The sequence below is a fragment of the Homo sapiens genome, chromosome 3 (genome assembly GCF_000001405.40).
Source record: "Homo sapiens chromosome 3, GRCh38.p14 Primary Assembly".
Taxonomy (NCBI): Eukaryota; Metazoa; Chordata; class Mammalia; order Primates; family Hominidae; genus Homo; species Homo sapiens.
In genome coordinates this window covers 21,039,632-21,063,752 of record NC_000003.12, presented here as the reverse complement: position 1 = coordinate 21,063,752, position 24,121 = coordinate 21,039,632, and the positions used below count along the sequence as shown (strand labels likewise).

Here is a 24,121-nt window from a genome sequence, read left to right as displayed (position 1 = left end):
TGGCGCATACAGCTATAAGTGATGGGTTAAAAATAAAGTTAAGAATTATCTTCTAATTGTAGAATAAAGTGGTGATATTTAGTTTCTGCAGATTCCTTCAAGAAGAGGGTTGCATTGTTCTGTTGCATTCAGAGAGGGTTTAGAATCCAAAAATAAATGATTTTTCTTGGAATTACATTAGACACAAAATGCACAGCTCACCCGGCACCCGCACCATTTTACTGAAGGATAGTGTTCTGACTCTTCTTTCTTTGAGCCCCTTGTATGTCACAAAGCTTCAGCCATCCCATAAAGAAAGAACTTAAGCAACTGCCTCAAGAATTTTTGTCAGTTTCTACATAAATTTAATTCAAGTTCATATCAAATTAGCATTTATGAAACCTTTTTCCTCTGCTCGGTGAAAACCACTTTTTAAAAAAACACTTCTGGGAAAACATAGATGTTTAAGCAAATGTAGACACACAGTGTATTAGAATTCAATACAAAGTCTAGCCGAGAGACAAGAGCCAGCTGGCTCCCTGATGGTCCCAAACGCAGCAGGAAAGATCCACTCCTCCATGCAATTCCCACTGTCAGTTCCTCTCAAGTAAAAAAGCAGCTCATTTTATTGAGTTATATTTTGGAACTCTAATTAGACCATTTAACTCGTGGGACAGACAATTGTGCACTAAAAGGGCATACACATAGACATGGATGTCATCCTTTCCAGTGTATTCTCCCTCTCTCTTTCCTCTGGGTTCCTGGATGTCAAAACAGGAAGCCATTCTGGGGCCTCCTCTGAGGGAAGTTTTAGATAGTTCTGGAGCTGCATTTTGGCTTTTCTGCTTATGCTGCAACGTCAGTAGAACAGCTTAGATCATCTGTCTTGAAATGTTTCAGTTTCTCACAGTGTACTGTGGCTCAATAATCAATTAGCTTCTAAAAGCTGGCCTATGGGAAAATTTAGACACAAGCAGAGGGAAATACCTTTGAAGGCTATGGGTTAGATCACTTTTCCAGAATGCTGTGCATTGTAGTTATGGGCACAAGTCCAGCTAACAATAAAATCAGCCTTTAATTTCCCTTTGTGAGTGTGCTTGTTTACAAATTTTCCTTAGGATCTTCAATGGAAGGTATGAATCCATTTTGGGCAGTATTTAGGGTCCTAGGTCTTCAGATTATAACAGAGTATTAATATCGTTACCGAATGTCTGAAATTATATTACACTTGTCAAGAAAAAAGTCCTAGGAACAGGAGATTCTCATGGCAATTTTTAGGGCAATGTAGTTAATATCTAGGATGATGCTTCTGTCTTTGTCTTCCACTGTCATGGCAGTTTGAAATCCATTTGTCTCATAAAGTACAATAAGAAGATGAAAGAAGACATCCTAACCTGTATTGAGCAGTGTTAAACCACTGAAATCTGGAAACTGTTTATTGCAACAACTAGTGTTAATCACCTTAATTAATGCATTCCTGGGAGGAAATTCTTCATAAGTGCTTTCACATAGGAAGAGCTAAATAACCTTCATCTCTTACTTCACATTTCTTCTCCAACATTATACATACCCTTATGAGAGACCTTTAAAGTTTCACATATTTCAATCCTTCATTCAATCTCTGCTCCATTTCTACAATTTTTATAATAAAAAGTTTGCTAATTTGGCATTATCTTCCATATATTTTTTGAAGTGAAGTAACATATCTCTGGCCGTGGCCTTCATCCAGATGTAAGTGTATCTATTACCCTACTATCAAGTATTATTTTAGATATATGATTAAATATACCTGCAGTGTTCATATATGGTATGTTCACATAATGTATATGTATAATATTATATATATATATTGCTCCAAGCAGTAACTTCAGTAAAATTTGTCATGGACTAGAGATAGATATTTCTATGTTGATCTTTAGAGATAATGCTGTTTTCTTCATGATTATAACTTTAAAATATTTGTCAATGACAATATTGAATAAAACTTAGGCTTGGACAACTGGGTGGAAATTTACTGACAATTTACTGAATGGCTCGAAATTTCCATGTGTAAAATGGAAAGGATATTTGCTCAGATATTTCACTGCACAATCATTCAATCATTCATTCACTCAACAACTATATTTATTGAGTGCATATTATGTGACATTATTATTCTAAACTAGTTATTCAGTAATTAAAAGGAGGAAAAGACTGCTTTCAAAAGGTATAGGTATTTGTGAAGGCATTTTGAGAGGTGTTAACTCTACTTAAATATAAATACATACCATTTTGAAAGTTATGAGCTTCACCATAGGGAAATTCATGTTCTTTGATTTAGAAACTATACTCCTAGGGATATTTGTCCAAGGACATTTAGGAGAAGGAAAAAGAACATGGACAACTATTTATTGAACTCTTACTACATTCTAGTTAGTACTTCCCAATAAAACGTTCTGTAACGTTGTAAGTGTTCTTTACCTGCTGTAGAATATGGTAGCCACATGTGACCATTGAGTATTTGAAATGTAGTATGCAACCGAGGATTTAAATCTTTAATTTTATTTAATTTTTATTAACTCAAACTTAAATTTAAGTAGCCATGTGTGGTATCATATTGGACTGCACAGTGAGACACATGTTAAGCAATTTACAGAAATTACATTCCTTAATTATTATTATGATCTTTCTATTAATTTTATTCTACAGATATGAAAACTGTAGGAAATTAAATAACCTGCAAAGGTCACCAACTTTGAAAGTGGTATATTGAAATTTGAGGCCAGGTAGTGTGATGCTGTAGCTCGTGTTCTGCTAGGCTACTTCTCTATGCATATTGACTTCCAATGATAGGAAAATTGTTGCATACACTTGAACCTAACATGAGGTAAAAACCTATGATACTATTGAGTGAAAATTGTTACAACAATTTGCAGAAGGAAATGCCTTTATGACAAATTAAAATAGAAGAATGCAAAAGAATATAGACTTTAAAAGTATAATTATATGCAAATAATATGAGCAAGTTGATAGTAATATACAAATTTGAACATAAATTCTTTTTCAGTGATAAAATTATGGATAAATCTCAAGAGTCTTTAGTGCTGTCTTTTACTAGGTTTAATTTTGTTTTTGTTGATTGTTCTTCGGATTAAATATAACAATGATATATGTGGAAGATGGTGGAGAAGTTCCTTTAACTGTTTTTCAAATTAGTACAGTAATAAAATAGAATGAGAATTTAGAAACAGTGTTGCATGGCTACCCTGCTACCCTATAGCTTTCACTCTTTTTCTTGCTAACAGATCCCGAATTTTTTTTGAAAAAGAAAACACCCAATTTCATAGAATTAAAACAGAATTAAACATCCTTTATCTAAGCTACTTATGACTATTTCATTCTTCTTTGCCATGTCCCCACTTTCTCAGCCTCCCTTGCAGCCACAGATGACCATATGATGTGATTTTAGCTAAGTAGAGATAAAGAGAGGCTACTTGAGAGATCTGAAAAGGATTTTACTCCTTAACAAAGGAACGCCCCTTTTCTATTTGCATCCACTTTTTGTTTGGAATATGATATTGTGGTGTCCTTTGTAGAGGCTAGCTCCTATTTTGTACCTATGAGAGGAGGACTAGAGGTAAGCAAAAATGCCCACAACCCTGACATAATTGAGATTTTTTTAAAGGAGTACCTTCATAACTCATATGTGGTTTAAATTTTTTCTTTTTTAAAGTCACTTTATGTTCTATTACCTAGAACGTAAAACTTTCCAAATGTATTCAAAGTCCCTTGCCTCACAAGCTGTGGGTTTCCATTGTGTAGAAGATGCAAAAAGTTGGGAGACTGGGTGTTGGCTCACCTCCACATTATAGGCTTTCCATGAATCTCTGTAAAATACAGAGCCTCCGTGTACTCCATCAGATTATGACTGAAAAGACCTGCTAACCAGCACAGTTGAAATCTAGAAAGCAACAGGACTCCAAAGATCCATAAATGCCTATTTTTAAATTCTGCTTCATTAACATGAATATATTAAAGTTCCTGAAGTCTTTCTACAGATGATATTTGGTCTGGCATTTCTGTAAGTGGAAGAGATTATCTTTTGCTTACAATTTGTCACTTCTTACTGGACTGTAGATTACAGCACTTTAGAAGCCTAACCCTTTTAAGTTAGGCTTTCTTCCAGCATTTACAAACGTTCTTTCAGCAGATCGACAAAAATAGCAGCAGCAGTGAAGCAATTAGATGTAATCCCAAACATCTGCATTTCAAGCCAGATCCTTAAATGTTTTTCCCTATTTTAGTTACACACCGATTCAAAACTCTCATTTAAGGTCCCAACAAACTGAAAAGAGTAGGAAATCTTTCAAATAATATACATTTAAATTCAGCTCTAAATACTGCCATCCAATTCTCACGGCAAGTATTGGCTATCAATACTGGTTAAACTTCCTGCAATAGAGTTATTTTGTGCCTGATTCAGTGTCACAAAATAACTATGAGTTGGTTTTCTGTTTAATTTAGGAAACATTTTACAATGACCTGTGAGTCCTAGGTGCTCTCAAAAGTTGGAGATAAAGATAAATATGGTACAATCCCTTCCCTCAAATATCTCATAGTTTAAGGATAGTTTACAATCTTCTTTGATCCTACTTATTCTATTTTATCATGGATACCTAAAATTGTATGCCTTAGTATAAGGTCTATGATTAAATACTGGTGGAGGAAGGTGCTACATACTTAAGACCTATGGTAAAACATGTTTTCATTGCTTGTACTATTAAACAAATGAACAATCCATAGAAAGTTGGTTAACTTTCAAAGCGGTAAGTGGAGAATTTTCTCACCTAAGTCAGTAGAATATAGATCTAAATTAATAACAATAATAATGAGAAGACAGCTTAAGTTTTGTTACATTACACAATGTGTTGGAATTTTACATGTATCTATAATGTCATTTTCTTTGGCTAAACAGCCATAGCATCTTGCCTCTGTCTGATCAAATAAAACTGTTTTTGATTGACAGCTAACTTTCTTCAAATAGCTGTTTTTAAGAAAGGAAGCTATTTATGTTACACTAGTTGTGTTTGGTACTGATTTCTAGGATGTTGGTCTTCTGAGGATCTTTCTTGAGCTAGTTTTAAAGAGCTCACAAATGTGCATAATCTCTCGCTCTCGTGCTCTCTCAATCTGTCTCCCCAACCCCCATCGAAAAAAAAAGAAAGAAAAAGAGGAAAGAAAGAAAGAAGAAAAGAAAGAAAGAAGAAAGAAAGAAAGAAAGAAAGAAAGAAAGAAAGAAAGAAAGAAAGAAAGAAAGAAAAAAGAAAGAAAGAAAGAAAGAAAGAAAAAGAAAGGCTACAGTTCTCTGTTTCACAAAGGTTAATAACAACTCTAAAATAGAGATTTGAGGCTGGACACAGTGGCTCAAGCCTGAAATCCCAGCACCTTGGGAGGCCGAGGCGGGCAAATCACTTGAGGCCGGGAGTTCAAGCCAGTCTGGCCAAAACAGCAAAATCCTGTCTCTACTAAAAATACTATATCTATAAATATTAGCAGGGCTTGGTGGCGCACGCCTGTAATCCCAGCCACTTGGGAGGCTGAGGCACGAGTCACATTTATCATCACAAGAGTGACACTCCATCTTTTTTGCCATGTAATCTACACTAACTGTGGAAGTGAACTCTCATATTTAATTGATTAAAAGCAAGTCACAGTTCTCACCCATACTCCAGAGGTGGGGAATACCCAAAGCCATGCACACTGGGAATAGGAAATCGCCAGGTATCATCTTCAGATCCATCTGCCACAGAGTCTCCTTATCTTTGTAGGGACATTGAAATTCAAATAAAACACATATAGACAATACATTTTTTTTTTAGTCAGTGAACTCTAAAATTTCTTCAGAGTTCATTATATCTTGCTGGCTCTTTATACTTTAGAAGTAGTTGTTTACCTCTGAATTATAAAAAATATATTCACTTAATATGATCAAAACTTTATGTAGTTAGTATGGAAATTGTGAATTATAGTGATTAATTGAACATTCACGAACCCACCACCCAACTTAACAACCAAAATACTACCAAATTCCAGTGAAAATCATATGCTACTATTGCCTAGTTATATCCCCTTACGTTCCCTCAGAGGCAATTTCTATCTAAAATTTTACGTTTGTTATTCCATAATTTATTTAAACAACTTTACCCCATAAGCTCTTTCTAAATAGAATATCATTTATGCTTATTTTTAAGCTTTACAAAAATTGTATCATATACATACCATATAGACATTCAGACTCTATTTGAATTAATTATTTTCACTCAACTAATTTCCAGCATTGTCAACCCTAGCTCTATAACTTACACTGGGAGAAAAATCTTGCTCAGGAGTATCAGAGTCTCAAACAAGAAGTTTCTCAGTAAATGTATTCTTACTAGCAAAAAGCAAAACATAACAAAACATACATACATGTACACAAACACAAAGCACAAAACAAGTAAACAAGAAACTACTGGATGCAACCCAAATGTCTATGTTTTTCTTTTATTTTTATCTTTGCTATTTTCATGCTTGAATTTCCATTTTTTTCTTCCTTAAAATGCATGGCACTATACCATATTGTATTAGCATGAATTTAGAAAAGTAAAACAGATGTCAAATGTCTTCAATTATATATAGAATGTTCAAGAGAACACTTCAAGTTATGAGACTGCAACTGACAACCCTATGGACTAGGATTGCAAAACAAGGAAGATAAAGCAATTTCTGGCTGGATGGTAGGATAATTGATACACTTACATTTGGAAGAAGGTCATGGCCAGAGATATGTTACTTCACTTCAAAAAAAGCCTATTGCAAGAAAACATTTATTTTAAAAAATCCCCTTACAAGGAGACAACACAAAGTTCCACACAGACGCTGCATCCTCAAAGTCTACCATCTCTGGGTGTGGAGTGACACTTTCTTCATCTTACTGGGGTAGCACATCACAGCCTTGAGATCATAGAATAATATTGCTCGTTATCTTACCCTCCACACCAATGTGTAATGCTGCAATAGGATAACTACAACACGCACCCTTATTTTGAAAAGGGAAGAATAGAAGACATACAGCAGTTGCTGGAACATAAGTCTAAATCCCACTAGGTAGACATAAGAAACTCCGACTCTGAGGAATGGGAAGATAATCCCTTAATTAGGCTCTGATTCTGCTCTCTGAGAAGTTCTTATTTGTCTATTGTCCCCTAGCTCTGCCCTCCTCATTTTTCATTTTCTTTCTTAACCATGATCTGCACTGGGCTTTGTAGAGTAGCTCATCTCTAGAATTTTGTGGTTTATTCTAGAACCACAAAATTCTCAACTCACTTTCTGTTCTTAGAGAGTCAGAGTCCCAAAGTCATTTTAAAAATCTTAAAAAGCCAAAGAGAACCTGGGAAATCTAGATGAGCACATGTATATTTGTTGAACAATTGCTCCAGGTATATGGAATTTATGGTCTAGGATAGAATGTGAAAATGTGGACAAATAGCTACAATACAAAGCATAATTAACTTAGTGTCACAATTGATAGCTACACACAGCAACATGAGCATTCAAGGAAAAGGGGAAATCAATCCAAATGGAACTACTGAGTTCAGTAGATTGGCCCATAATACTCTATCCTGGCTTCCTATCTCTTACCTCCCGCCACAAATTCTGCACCAGAACAATCTCAGTTTCTCACTTAGCGCTGTTTGCTCTTTTATTTCCCCTTCTGTGCCTTTCAGAGGCTACTTCTGCTTAGAATTTTCTCTTCCATTGAGCACTTGTTCAATTTTCATTAATGTTGTAAAACTCATTCAAGTAAAAATTCCTCAATGAAATCATCTCTGATTGACCAGGAGAGATCTAGCTGTCCTCTCTTTTGTTCCTCCATGGAATTTTACTTGCTCTTGTTTTGCCCTAAGAATTAAGCACGTCAAATGGCACATCAAGGGAGCTAACGTATACCTTTGAACATTGCCCTCAGGCATTTATTCTTAGGCATATTTTGGCCTTATTTATTTTATATTGTTATAATTATACTCTAAATACAGTTGCATATCCAAGCATCTTTTACAGTTAACCTTGATACAATAAGGCTTTAATTACATAATTCTAAAATATTATATCATATTCCAATGAGAGCCTGCACCAGTTGACTTCTCCACATCTTTTTGGCTAAACACAATTGTTTTCTATTTTTCATAAATAACAGACCAACATGTGTTTTGGGATCCCCTAAGGGCAGGTAATCATGAATCTCATTGACTTATTTTATGTCATAAGAGGGATACTAAACTATTCCTTATTTTCTCACTAGCATTACTGGATAGAAATTTTCTTCTGGGTTACTAAATGACCTCTAAGAGTTGAGAATGTACTTTTCCCCAAGAATAAGCCATGTTATCTGTTTCAGTTATGAATAGCTGCATAATAATAAACCATCTCAGAACTTAATGGCTAAAAATAATTTTATAATTTCTCATGATTCTAAGGATTGGCTAAAGCCAGCTGGGTAGTTCTGCACCATGTGATGTCAGCTACAGCTGCATCATCTGGGATTTATTTGAGCTGGAACATCCAAAATGGCTTTCTCACATGGCTGACAGATGACATGTTCTTTTGGCTTGGAGCTTAACTGAGGCTGTTGACCAGAACTTACACTCAGTCTCTCCCTGTAACTTTGGTTTCTGAGAAGCAGATGGATTTTGAGAGGTAGTATCCAAAGAGTAATTGTTCTAAGAGTGAACAAGCAGAAGCTGATAGAGATTTTAGAGGCTAAACTTGGAATTAGCACAATGTGATCTCTACCATGTTCTACTGTTTGAGTAGTCACATGGCAAAAAAAAATAAAAAAAAATCAAAGGAAGGGCAGATTAATTATTTTTCTTTACACAACTGTGGCAAAGAATTTGATAGTCATCTTTAAGCCACCACATACCCAGTGATCAGATATTTCAAGTTTCATGAGAAAATGTTTAACCCACTTAATTTCATTGAAAGACCTCAACATTCTGATTTGCCTGAGAATCTCCTGTTGCTATGAGTTTTTTATTGACAAGTGTAATATAATTTCAGACATTCAGTATGATTGCTCTAAATGTAATTAAACTTAAATAAATCTGTGGTGGAAAAATTGCATAATGTATTTCTCTAGGCAAGTGCACTCTATATATTTTTCTATATGTGCTTCACTATTTTCTCTTCCCTATTTCACCATTATTTGTTTCTATTTCTGCATCAAGAGATTAGCATTTCCAATGGTTATTCCCTGAAAACATACTAAGAAAATGTGGAACCAGTGATCCCGGTGCCTATGGCTGGGCTCAATAAGTCAGACTGAAATGATGGCAAGCTTGGCAACATTGCCTACTATTTCTCTTGTCACATTTACAGGCCAGTCACTGGTTAAGAAAGAAGGAAGTTCAAGGTTACATTCTGACATGGAATGATGGAGAGATCAAGACAGAAACAGCCTTTAAGAGGGAGAAAGGATGTTTAATAGATGGTCTTTATGAGTCATTCTTTTGCGGAGTACATGCTGCTCCGGAGTACATGGAGTTCATGCTGCTCCATCTAAAAATACGAACTGTTTGAGTTTGTGACCTTGTTAAAAATATAAATTTAATTAGGTTTACAGATCTTTGTAGCTCATAAAGCTCATAATGACCACTCAAGTTTTGCTAGCTCCAGATTCTTGTTTCAAATTATGCTGAAGTTAATAACAACAATCCCTGCTCTCAAAACTGAGAGAGACCTGAGAGATTCCATGTCATTGCCTGAAGTTCACACATCACAGTTATTGCTGGAGGCTGACACTCATTATCCACCCCGAAACTCTAAGGAGTGTATCTGTGCTTTTCAAAGGTGCCTTTTTCAATAGAGACAGACAGAGGATGTAAGATGAGCAGCTATGTTAAAAATGTAAAGTCTGCACCAACCCTTCATTTCCCCATCTTAGACATTTTGTTGGAAACTATCATCCAACTCTGTTCGCAAAGGATGTTTCCCAAGGCTCAACTGCCCTCAGTTAGACAGACAGGAAGTTCAATCAAAATCTATGCTGAAGAATTTGAGACAGTATATATTTTTTCTATTCATAAAACTTCAATTGCTACTCACATATATAAGAAACATATTGATAAACTTCAGGTGCATATTCAGATAGTTATCAGAAATTTTCTTACTTTGATATTACATAGGCAACTCAAAATTTAGCATGTCCAAGAATGAAATAATTTTCTTTCCTCAAAAGTTTCTATCACAATTAATGGCACCACTATCCATCCCCCATTCAAGTCAGAAACTGAGGCATACTGTCTCAAATTTAACCCCTAGGCTTTGGGGATTTTACCAAATAAATATAGCCCAAGTCTAGAATTTCCTACAATTCGTTCTGTAAAACAATAATTTCACAAAATGCCCCAGTGGAAATAAATTCTTTATTTTTATTTTTTTAACTTTAATTTTAGGTTCAGGGGTACGTGTGAAGGTTAATCAGGTAAATTGCATGTCACAGGGGTTTGGTGTACAGATTATTTCACCACACAGGTAATAAGCATAGTACCTAGTGGGTAGTTTTTCAATCCTCACCCTCCTCACTTCCTCCACCCTGGAGTAGGCCTGGTTTCTGTTGTTACCTTCTTTGTGTCCATATGTTCTCAATGTTTAGCTCCCAGTTATAAGTGAGAACATGTAATATTTGGTTTTCTGTCCTAGTATTAGTTCACTTAGGGTAATGGCCTCCAAGTTGCTGCAAAGGACATGATCTCATTCTTTTTTATGGCTATGTAGTATTCCATGGCATATATGCACCAAATTTTCTTTATTCAGCCTACTCTTTATAGGCATTTAGGTTGATTCCATGTCTTTGCTATTGTGAATAGTGCTGCAATGGATATACATGTGCATGTGTATTTATGATAGAAGACCTTATATTCCTTTGGGATATACCCAATAATGGATTGCTGGGTTGAATGGTAATTCTGCTTTGAGTTCTTTGAGAAATCACCAAATTGCTTTCCACAATGGTTGAACTAATTTACATTCCCACCAGAAGTGTATAAGGGTTTTTCTTTGCAACCTCACTAGTGTCTGTTATTTATTGACTTTTTAAGAGCAGCCATTCTGACTGGTGTGAGACAGTATCGAATTGTAGTTTTAATTTGCATTTCTCTAATGATTAGTGATGTTGCACATTTTTTCACATGCTGGCTGACCGCATATATGTCTTTTTTTGAAAAGTGTCTGTTCATGTCCTTTGCTCACTTTTTAATGGGGTTGTTTTTTTTTTCCTTGTGTATTTGTTTAAAGTCCTCATAGATGTTGGATATTAGACCTTTGTCAGATGCATAGTTTGCAAATATTTTCTCCCATTCTGTAGATTGTCTGTTTACTCTTTTGATAGTTTATTTTGCTGTGCAGAAGCTCTTTAGTTTATTTAGGTCCCAGTTGTCAATTTTTGTTTTTATTGCAATTGCATTTGGTTTCTTCACCATGAGATCTTTGCCAGATCCTATGTCCAGAATTATACTTCCTAGGTTATCCTCCAGGTTGTTCATAGTTTTAGGATTTAAATTTAAGTCTTTAATCCATTTGAGTTAATTTTTGTATATTATGTAAGGAAAGGGTCCAGTTTCAATCTTCTGCACGTGGCTATTCAGTTATCCCAGCACCATTTCTTGAATAGGGAGTTTATTAAGTCAATTTGGTCAAGCGTTGAATTCAGATCCTGAATATCTGTTAATTTTCTGCCTTGATGATCTGTCTAATACTGTTGGTGGGGTGTTAAAGTCTCCCCTTATTATTGTATGGAAATCTAAGTCTCTTTCTAGGTCTCTAATAACTTGCTTTATGTATCTGGGTGCTCCTGTTTTGGGTGTATTTACAGTAGTCAGGTGTTCTGGTGTTCTTGTTTTACCATTATGTAATGTCCATTATACCACATGTTTCTGTCTGTACATCATTTTCTACACTATTCCTTTTACCCGAAATGCCCTCATCACAATGTTCTCATATTCAAGCTTTAAGATTTAGTTTACACAGAATATCCTTGGAAACCTCAACCACCAACAGAGTTCATTACTTCCCCGCAAATTACATTTTATAATTTATGTTTCTGTGCTTCATTCATATTTGCATTCTAAGCTCAGCCAAACACCAAACATATAAGTGGCTAATAAATGTTAATTAAATAAATGATCTAAATTTAACTTTAATAAACATTTACCATAATATCCTGTGTTCTGCATCTTGATAGTTGTGGCAAAGCCAGTACAAAGGAAAGCATAACAGGTTCTACTATGCAGAAGCTTCCAATTAATACTATAGTAAGATACTTCTGATAGGCCAGTGAAACATAGTTACATAATGAGGTAAAAAAATATGTGCTAGATATGGTTATAAAAAACATATTCTAGCTTGGGATTGGTGGGGGTAATGGTGTACGCAGGCAGTTTCTGGATATAATAAGCAGATCTATAAAAATGTCTGTATTTTGACAAGTAGTACAGGAAATGACATTACAGAAAATATGTATATATGTATATTCATACATACTGTAGGTCTAGGTGTTATCGATAGGTTCTTGGAAACTGACTTTAAGCAAAACAATGTATAACGAAACATTTTTTTCTCATCAACATTATAATTGAACTGTGTTGAATGAAACAAAGTCATTTGAGGACCTTCTGTACATTGTTTTGCTTGAAGTAGCAGTTTCCAAGAACCTATTGGTGACATTAAATGAGGACTTAAGTCTAGGTATATAAATTTGGACAAGGACCGACCTGCAAATGGAGCAGTATATGTTATTCAGGAGAATAACGTTTACGTGAGTGGTATTGAAGTGTTGGATGTGGATAGGGAGAAGGGAGAGAATAAAATATGGCAGAAGCTAAGGTCAGAAAACTAGTTACCAGCTCCATAGTGAAGAATTCCCAACAGCTAAGTGAATTATTTAGACATGGTTCTCTCTTTATCTGGGCCTTACAAAGATGACTCCCCATCCTAAACTCACACAGGCCCCACAGAGGAATAGTAGATGATAAGATCAAGGTCTTACAGACTTTATCCTGCAGCTGGGTCTAGATTTGACAAAGAAGAGTAGATGGTGGAGGGCTCAGAACACAGAACATGTGGCAGAAAGACCAAGTAGGTTTTTGAAAATGTTGAAGTAATTTAGTTAGAATTTTAAGTAGAAAAGGAACACTGGAAAAACAATTGTGGGGAACTCCGGCTTTATCAAAAATAAGAACTGTATATTTATGAAACATGTTCTTTTCTTCACGCATTCTTTCCCTGTGTTCTTGGCATTTCTACTGAGATATTTTTGCTTTTATGTTAATTACTGGGTGTCAGTGTATGGCTGCTCTGTGACACAGCATTGGACAATGCAATCAAAGGCTTTCAAAGTCACTTGTTTTGTAGAACAAGGTTTTTTCCTAGTTTCAATGGGAGTTACATTTACTATCACAAGAAGTGTAGAGACCAACAAGTCCTTGTAAAATCCTGCAGGAATTTCTGTATAAATAAAAATGTAGACTCAAAGAACTTATTTCTTTACATTTGCTAAAGCAGATACGTACAGTCCTGAGCATATCGCTCACAGCTATTTTCTAGTCGGAGGTAAAACCAAAAGGAAAAAACAGTGTTATTTATACTCTTTTGATTCATAGAGAAAATTGTTTCTCTTTGGAGCTCAAGAAGGAAAACCTCCAGTTTTTGAAAAACTCTATGTGATGAACACACATGTACACGCTTATATACAGAAATTGTGAAAATGCATTTTAATTCATCCACAGGTTTCACTGCTAAATATTCATAAAACCTTCTGGGTCAAATTTACCAGTGTGGATGCCTGAGTTATTTCTGCTAGATAAAATCAAGTCAAACTGTCATTTTGCATTATAAACAGAAGATCGAAGATGCACAATTTAACATCTGCATGCAAAGTAAGCAGTTGGGCCAGCACAAACAGTTGCTGTAATGTGGACAAATGAATTTGAATCCACACACTCTCTTCATGCATTATTCAGATGGCTTTATGTGTAAGTTTGGGTTTTTAAATATGAAAAAAGCAAATAGTTTGATCAAGCCCAAGTATGTTAAGTGAGGACCCTCAAAATGAAGCAAATTTGTTAATAAAATGTAACATAATGGAAATCTGGACACAGGAAACATCTGGCACGGAATTTTGGCAGATAATTAAATAATTGAATACCTACGACAGCCAGTTAAATGTCATAATCAGTGGATAATTTATTCAAGACATAATCTTATTCATGCCTTTCTTATGTACAAAAGGACGTGTTGCCAGATGTGCACGAGGTATAATTTCAGTTCTGCTTTTACAATGGAATTTGACTTCTATTAGTCTACCTTGGCAAGATGTAGCCCTTTAACTGGCGGCTTTCAGAAAACAGCAATTTGGAGACAGCTTTCGCATTGAGACCTTTAAAAGATAATTATTTTTATTCAATTAGAATAGAGTTGGTGGTGAAGAAGAAAATAATTGTGCTCATGTATTTTCAAAAGAAACCTACTTATTAATAGTCATTTTAAATCTGAAAAGAGATTTTTTTAGACTTTATCATATATTAAGAAATTGGAAAACAGTATACAAAACTGGAAAAAACTAGAGATACAGTCACACATTTAAACATTCTTTCATTGCCTTTTCAAGTAAGATTTAGTGTCTGCACACTTTAGACACAGGCCACCTTATTACAGGTCTCTGTGTAGCTCTCCTGGAAATCTTTAAATTTGAGGGAAAGAAAGTGCATCTTCAGTGCCCGACATTGATCTACGGCATGGAAAAGAGTTGTCATAGAAAATCACCTTGATTTTCACAGAATTTATGTGAATCATAAATTTTTGTTGAAATAGGCCATTGACAATTGGATAGTTTGGTCTGCAGCATAACACATCTATCCTACTTTGTATACAACTTTTTTGATTCCTCAGGAATTCAGTGTAAACTTACTTACTCCCACTGCTCTAAAAAAGAAACTGAAACTTAAAATTTTTCACACTCTCATATAGAAGCATCAGTCAACAATCAAAAACTAAACCAAAAAAAACTAATTACCAGTTTTGTCATTGACCAAAAAATATATTACATGTTAACCCTATTCAGGAAATGCAGCTTTTAGATGGATGAATTGCCCACCCAAACGAAACTGGATTTCACTTTATAAAGAATATGAGGATAGTGGTATTGGAAAAACAGTTTCAATCTTTGCTACCACTCCCAACCATATTGATAGAGATGGAAAAAACTAGACTCAAGAAGGCTGATTAATTTGTTCAAGTACTGGAATCAAAATTTGAACACAGGTCTCTATAACTCTAGTCTTTCACTGCAGCTTTCTCAGGGTAGGTAAATCCTCCACAAGATTTACAGTTGAAAAGATATTAACATTTGTGGCAGAAAAGGGTTGGTGTTCACCAAAGATTTATGCTCTTTTTCCTGAGCAGCCAGTGATACATTTTCCATCCTCCCTTGCATCTGATGCCTGCGTGAATGTTCTTGCAAATGAAACATAAGTAAAAATGATGTGTACTGCTTCCCAGATTAAGATAATTAAGGAGTGTATGTACCTTCTCTATCCTTGCTCTTTGTCTATTCAACGCTAATGTTTTAAAGGACTATCATGGAGACAATATGTTCCAGAAGGCATAGTCTGCTGGGTGTGTGAATGACTTTGTGGAATAGAAACCCCACCCTCAAATCCCCCATGCCGGAGTCCTTGCTGAAAATAAGCCTGAATTTGGCATACTATCTGAGAGAGAAGTAGATTTGGGGTTTAGAAACTGAAATTTGGAATTTATCTATTATTGAAGTTAGCAGACTAATAACATAATAAAGAAAAGAAATGAAGAGACTCCTGTGGAAATCAGGCCTCAATAAGAGAAAAGGAATTTGAGGGGAAGAGGAACATTTCTTTACTCTCCAGATAGGTCATTTACTATTCCTATTCTAAGCCTGGTCCTTGTGGAGACAGGACAAATCTTACTGAAAAGGAAAAGAAGAAGGTCAGAACAAAGTGAGGAGAAAAACAAAAACAACAACAACAAACCACAGAGTCAATTAAAAGAAGTTCACATTTTAATGTATGAAAAATAATAGAGTATGAGAATAAAGTTAACTAGCAGAGCTTCCTTGGTAACTTTGAAAGCAGATATATTCCTAACTGCCCACTTAAAGTCTGAAATTATTTCAATTTTATTTAACCAAGAGTCAAAATAGTCAATAAGAAGTCCCAATTGCCCTCAGACTGCACTGTTCAATCATATAGCTATTGAGCACTTTTAGTGTAATTAGTTCAAATTGAATGTGTGTAAGTATAAAATATACATGGGATATCAAAGACTTTGTACCAAAAAAGTACAAAATATCTCATTAATAATGTTTATATTATTGTAAGTTAGAATATTAGATTGAATAAAATGCACTAATAAAATTAATTTTACCTTTTTTTTCTATTTTAAAAAATGCGGCTACTAGGAAGTTTAAATTACATAGAGGCCTCACATTATATTTGTGTTGGACAACATAGTGTTGAGAGATTCACAGGGTGTTTCATCTGTTCCTGCAGAGTAGGGGCTGGGGGTCAGATATATGATGACAAACACTTGTTCAGAGAGGCAACTTTGTCGAGAAAGTAGGAAAGGAAAAGAAAGGTCAAATTGTCCTAATAGAATTTAAAGCAAGTTATTTATTAAATGAATGTACAAATGAATAGAGAGTACCTTTTCAAAAATACAGTTCAATGACTATCCATAAAAGGCAAAGAAAGCAATCAGACTCTCCCCATCAAATTTTTAAAAAACCACTTTGTTACATTCCGTAACCAACATTCTGTGAGCCTTAGAGCAATTTAAAGTCATTATGCCTCAGTTTCCTAGTATTTAAAACAGTGAATATTACGTTTGCTTTGTTTACACCATTATGACAATCAAATTTGAAAACATGCATTAAAGCCCTTTAAGAAAGCATATAAGTGCGCTTCCGTGGTGAGAAAGAAAATATCTGCAAATAAGGGGATTTGATATCTGAACTGAGAAAATATAGCTCTTTCTAGGTAATGTTTGAGCTGACAAGTGAGTACATTTGAATGATTTAATGGACACTTAAAAGTTTCTTTTCATTCTAAATCATATGAAGGATTCAATTAGACTTTCATCTTAAAACAGTAATGCAATTACTTCTATGATCAAACAACATTTTTAAAAAGTGACAACATACACTTTTAGCTTCAAATTTGTTCTCTGTCCCTTCAAGCTTATTCTATCACTATATAAAACTAAGCAATGTAATACAGAACAATTCTCAATAGCCAGGTAACTTATATTTGATGTAGGCCTGATATTTTAAAACTTATAACAGTACAACATTGCATGAAAAATTATATATGCAATAAACATATAATATATGCATATTCATATATATATGAATTTTTGAATGGGAAACATATTTTAGGTCTTAGAGAATATACCTCACAAGTTTTTGGGAAAGAACAATGTCTTTACTTCTATATCTACAAGGCTGATCTCAGATTTTGAGTTCTAGTTATGTCTACTTTTACAGCCTATTTAATTATACCCCTAGTCACTGGCATTTTATGTTTTCATTTAATATAAATAGTTGCATTTCTGCTTACTATATGTTTCTTTTATTCTGTCATTCTTTGCATAAGTGTAATACAACTATTGTATGGGTATGAATGTGTCATTTTCCCCATACAGTCTTCAAAACTTTAAATTATTTTTTAAAATTAATTTTTAAAATTAATTTGTTATTTCGATAGGTTAAATTAGCATTTCATTCAGATTTTGAGTTGCATTTGTTTAATTATCAGAGTCTAAACCTATTATTGGCCACTAAGCATGCTTATTTTTTGCCTTTGTCTATTGTAATGTGTGTCTATCATTTTATTATTTATCTTAAATACATTTTATATGGAAAAGGTATTAACTCTTTTCCATCCCATAGACATCAAATACTTTTCCATATATGTCCCTATTTTGTAACTTGTTTTAATCATGTCCTTACTCATATTGGAGTTATACTGCTGGTACGGGACTCCTCATCATTTAATTTAATAGTACATATTTTACTTCATTGGCTTTGTATGCCAGGCTATGTAATGCAGTAGTCTAAAGGGGGCTTGGGTGATAAAATTCTTGGGTTCAAACCCCATCCCTAATATCCAACTGCTGTATGATCTCATGTGTGTTGCTTAACTCCTTCTGGTTTTAATTTTCTAATTTTAAAAGTGAAGGTAAGTAATGCTGATGCCTTCATAAGAGGGCTATTTAAAGATTAAACATGATAATACAGGTAAAACTAGGATAATGTCTTAAGCACAGTAATTAGTCATCAAGCGATAACTGTTATTGTTATAAGAAACTGAATTATCATGGATATAAGAGTCAGTTTTCCATCTCTCCATTTTGTTACATTTGTTATATCTGAGGTTTAAAGTCATGGGCTATGAATCATTGAAAAACACAAAGGAAGAACACCAGATTGTTCTTTACTCAGATCCAGATTATCTTACGATTTTGTAGAAATGTTACATAACTTTATGTATGCAGAAAAATAATTTAAACTTCTTGAGGTCTGGGATTGGATTTTCTGCTCTCTATGCCCCAGAAACCTTGCACAGTATTAGGAAACATTAGAGGTGACCCATGATAACAAAACACTAATAGGAACCAGCTTCATTTCTGAGGATTGGCACAGTAATGGCAGGTCCATGAAAGTAATGTCTCCTTTTATTGCTGCTTTTCTTTAGGTTCTAAGAGAAAAGAATTAACTAGTACATTTTTGACCATATCTGAGGACTTCCTGGTGTGTGAGAAGTTATTTTCTTAGTGGAACATAACTTTTCTTTTATGTTAAGTTTGAAATTCTCCATGTTGGGCTTCCAAAATAGCAATTATTCTCAAAAAGATGGATGGCCATTCAATTAAGTCTTAGCAGGAGTATAATGCTTTGCCATTGTGTGCCATTGATGCCCTTTTATCACCTACAATATCTCCCAAGTACTTTGTCTACAAAAGGACTAAGCAGCTGTGCACAATGGGAAAAGCTTGAACTCTGATATCAGATAAGCCTGCAATTGATTTTGAGCTCAGTCATTTGCTAACTGTGTGACATTAGAAAATACTTACATTCTCTGACCTCTAGTTTTATCTTATAAAAAAGGGAATCAGGATACCCACCTTACTGGGTTGATAAGAGAATTAAAGATAATGCATGGCAAGAATGTAGCATGCAGTAGGTGCTAACTGAATGATAGTTAATATCAATATAAAGACTAAAATTTTCATACACTCATTTCCCTCAACTGTTTCCAGGAAAGTAGTTACCATATGAGAGAACAGTCTGACATATTTTTGTGGCTCCCAATGGCATCACTAAATCCAATGATTAGTAATGAAGAGAATGAGATACTTTAGTCAAAAATTTAATCAGGCCTGCACTAAATTTTATCTATGGCACTGATTTTAGGTAACTATTTAAACTTTCCAAGTACCATTTTTCCATCTAAAAATGAAAATAATAGAAGTATCTCATAAAGTTGTTTTGTCTAACATGATGTTATAGGTAAAGTTTTGCAGAGTATTAGAGCATAGTGAATGCTCAAGACATCTTTGACATCTTCTAAACCAATTGTTTATATGATGTAAGAATGCCCTCAACAACCACCATAATGAGGAGTTATTTACTCTCTTTGAAGACTTTCAGTTCTCCCTAACTTGAGTTTTTAAAAGATAACCTAATATTACACTTAATAAAAGCAATGGCTCTCAAAGTCAACCTTCTTGTTTTGACATCTAGGCCAGGTAATTCATTTTCTCAGTCTCAGCTTTCTCATCTGTAAAATGGGAGTGACTAATGGTACCAACCCCTTTTAGGTGTTAAAATAATTAAATAATACATTAAAAGCCCTTCCACATTTCCAATCACATGAGTGTTCAATAAAGACATACTTACTTTAAGTTGGAGACCAAGTTATTGGAATTTCCTTTTATATGTCTACCTGTCTCCTTTTGTATGTCTAAACATTTTAAAAAAATGTTTGGGTTGTCAGTGGCATTTGAACCAGATCTACTCCATCTGGAATAGGTGCTCAGTAAAATAAGACTGAGACCTACTGGGCTGCAGTCCCAAAAGGTTAGGCATTCTAACTCACAGGATAAGACAGGAGGTCAGCCACAAGATACAGGTCACAAAGACCTTGCTGATAGAACAGCAGGAGGTAAAGAAAATGGCCAAATCCCACCAAAACCAAGATTGTGAAGAAAGTGACCCCTGGTCATCCTCACTGCTCATTATACTCTAATTGTAATGAATTTGCATACTAAAAGACACTCCTACCAGCACCATGACAGTTTATAAACGTCAGGAAGTTACCCTATATGGTCTGAAAATGGGAGGAACTCTCAGTTCCAGGAATCACCCACCCCTTTCCCAGAAAACTCATGAATAATCCATTTTTGTTTGTTTAGCATATAATCAAGAAATAACCATAAAAATAGCCAACCAGCAGCCCTTGGGGCTGCTCTGCCTATGGAGTAACCATTCTTTTATTCCTTTAATTCTTAATAAACTTGCTTTCACTTTACTCCGTGGACTTACCCTGAAATCTTTCTTGCACGAGATTTAAGGACCTTCTCTTGGGGTCAGAATTAGGACTCCTTTCTGGTAACAGGGTGACATCAGTGAAAATGGTGAATTTAAAGACTTCTGAAAGGCTGTCACTCCATTAAATCAGCAACAAAAATCCCTGAAAAAAAAAAAACGGTCAGAATCAACTTTTCAAAACTTTGGAAATTAATCAAAGCTTTGCAGCAACCCAAGTCATATTGAGTCAAAAAAATGAATGAGTATCCATAAGACCAGTGAGATTTCTGATGTTTTAACTTACACTAGTCCCATCTCCAACTTCCCAGCTCAGTGGTAGTCTTGAGTATATCAGCTCATATTGCTGGTAATACAGGGAGAAATATCAAACTCATCATTTGAACTCACTCAAACTCACCTCCTGCCAAACACCTCTCCATTGTGGATGGAGTGGGTCACAGAACTTTCTCAAGTGTTTTAACATCTCTAATGGGTCAAAGTAGACATCACAGAGGAAATTAGAAATACTTGAGTTGAATGAAAAGTAAAACACAACAAAATAGATAGAATGTAACAAAACAGTGCTAAGAGGTTAATCTATAGCTGTAAACACCTACATTAGCAAAGAAGAAAGATCTCAAATAAATAAACCTAAACCTCTACCTTAAGAAACTAGATAAGACAGGCTGAACGCGGCGGCTCCCGCCTGTAATCCCATCACTTTGGGAGGCCGAGGTGGGCGGATCACCTGAGGTCAGGATTTCCAGACCAGCCAGCCAACATGGTGAAATCCTATCCCTACTAAAAGTACAACAATTAGCTGGGCATGGTGGCAGGTGCCTGTAATCCCAGCTACTCAGGAGACTGAGGTGAGAGAATCGCTTGAGTCTGGGAGGCCGAGGTTGCAGTGAGCCGAGATCTGCCATTGCACTCCAGCCTGGGTGACAAGAGTGAGACTCCGTCTCAAAAAACAAACAAAAGGAAACTAGATTAGACAAGCAAATTGTATTCAAAATGAGAAAAAGAAAGGAAATAATAAAGACTATTATAGAGAAAAAAATCCGTAAACTTGGTGAAAATATTTAAATGGCATATTTATTTTTGGCACAGTATGAGCAAAACAAGTGGTTGACTGAATGTGATTTAATCTTCCACTTTTCACCTGTTTTAGCACCATCCAGAGACATCCACAATGAATGTAAAGCAACAGGATTAAACAGGTCATAAAGGACAATAAAAGTCTTACTTTTTTCCTCAGCTGGAATGTATTTTGCCTGTAAGTACGAGTCACTTGCATTTCAGACTTAAGCACACTTGCATCACAGTCTGGGATAAATGGCTTATAATAGATGTGCACTGGCATATGTTCCTTGTCCATCTTCATTGCCTTGTGGGAAAGGATTAGGAAAATATTGTTGATAAGTTACTTCTTTCAGATTATTTAAAATAGTTTCACAAGAGTAATTGCTACTATTATAGTTTCTTAGGTGTTCTTATGTAAATTTTAAATTCATACTAATAATGTATCATAAAGTTTCTTTCATGTGTATATTTTCACCTTATTAAGTACCCTTAACTGCACGATCTCACTTAGTGATGTCACAACATTGGACTTTCACAAAGTATGCAAAAAAACTTCTACAAACTACTCTGTGTAACTATTATGAGCCACAGATGCAGAGAACAAATATATGCCATCTCTTTATTCTTTAATTAATAATTCTTTAATTAATCATGCAAATTCATCTTGACTTATTAGCAGGAATCTCATCAGTTCTCACCAAGCCTTATTTCCGTCTGCCCTTTAACTGTTCAGGGATCCCAGAGGTTATCTCATTCCAAAGGTAAATCAGCTTCCTCCTGACATCAGGAGTAGAACAATCTGGAGCCTGGTGAAAGTAATACTGCTGTCATTATTGAAGCAGAATCCTGCACAGTCCTTCAGAAATTTGTCTACCTGATAATACAAGGTCCATATACCTACACAGCTCCTAATGTGGTGCCACTTATAGGCTCCAAATTGTAACTTTTTTAGTTCACACGCACCTATGTAGTTAGTATTGCCCAAAACAAATCTCTTGCTGGATATTTGGATTTAGAGCACTTACTAGAGTTGTCAGACTTAAACTTCTTTCCCCCTAGCAACTCAGGTTACTCAAGCTTAGATTTTCTGCTTCCCAAAGGTGATGTTATTCCAAGAATCTCATTAAACTTACCTGCTACCAATACTGGTTGAAGGTCAAGTAAATCTGCCTAACACTAAAATTAAAAAAATAAAGAAAACCTATTCTTGAGAGTGCTCATGTTCTTGGTTACATATTTTAAGAAGGTAGAAACTAGCATATGGGCCAACACAATACCATTTATAAAATGACTATGGATTAAAATGTTATTTACACAGCACCTGCAATAATTTTAAATAAAATAATATTTTTATCTGAAATGAGTGAAGGGAAATGTACTGTCTGTTTGCTTCCAAGTAGATGCTGGGATTCTTAGACAAAGTCCCCCTTCTGTTTCCTAGTTAGCAATTTGACATACCAGAAATCACAGGAGCTGTGGCCTTACTTATGTCACAAAGGGGACCATGAAGAGCTGGTCTCCATACCCCAGGCCATTTAAAAGGTTCCTAAATAAGTAGTTCTGTTACAGATAAACTGAAATCTCAATGCACAGACCTAAGAAACGGCGATATTTTAAAGATCTCTTTAAAAAATGAGCCCTTTATTAAAAATTTATGCCTTGGCAGGTACTGTCTACCCTCTAGAAATACATCATCCAAGAACTTAAAAACTATCAAGAACAAGCTTTCCATTCAAGGTTTTGCATTTATAGGTTTTAAACATATCTCTCATACTTTGTTGTCTCCTCCCCAAATTTATTCGTTCAAAATAAATGAGCTTAGAATAAACTATATATGCAGAAATATAAAGATAAAATGGACTTGCCCTTAAGAAATTCACATTTTAGTAGATATGTCAACAAAGGACTAGAAAGCTATATAACAAGTTCTTTAATGGAACTATGAACAGAGTGCAAAAAAAACTCACAGAGAGTGGCTAACTACCTGCAAGAATGTGTCAGAGCAGAGATAGGAATTGAGCTGGTTCTCAGAAAGGTGTGGGCATGGCTGGGCTCCCCATCTGCCACTCTACTAATTATCAGGATTGATTTGTTAGGTTGTGTGCAGTTCAGCACTGTCCCCTTCTTCCCACAGCACAAATCTCCCCAGTAAACACTAGAGGCTTTTCTGTAGAAGAGAATAACATTCTTAAATAAAGGGAGATGGTTTTTGAAATGATTTTAGATGAATACCTATGTTTCTACATTAGAAAATTCTCTGAATATTCATTTGAAAGTCATATTGAATGATTCCTCAGGTGATGAAGAAACAGATGGCCATTCTACGTAGAGAGAAATATATATGTATTTCTCTTAAAGATGACACAGAGAGGTAATAAAGGACAAAATGATTCCACTGGGCTTGGTAATAGAGAGCCCACTATA

At 35.0% G+C, this 24,121-nt stretch overlaps 1 long non-coding RNA gene across 3 annotated transcripts in view; it reads right to left on the bottom strand.

The window, feature by feature from the left end:
- The window catches only part of LOC105376987 (uncharacterized), a 108,868-nt gene extending 86,363 nt beyond the window's left edge, over nucleotides 1-22,505 (bottom strand). For 2 of the 3 annotated variants that reach the window (XR_940644.2, XR_001740620.2), the window contains exons 1-3: nucleotides 22,396-22,505; nucleotides 21,861-22,001; nucleotides 20,630-20,777 (exon numbers count right to left, since the gene is read on the bottom strand). This is a non-coding gene — a long non-coding RNA (uncharacterized LOC105376987). Of the gene's footprint in view, nucleotides 1-14,213; nucleotides 14,432-20,629; nucleotides 20,778-21,860; nucleotides 22,002-22,395 lie in introns of those variants that run through there. The other variant, XR_001740621.2, reaches the window with a different exon arrangement.
- Nucleotides 22,506-24,121: the final 1,616 nt, after the last annotated feature.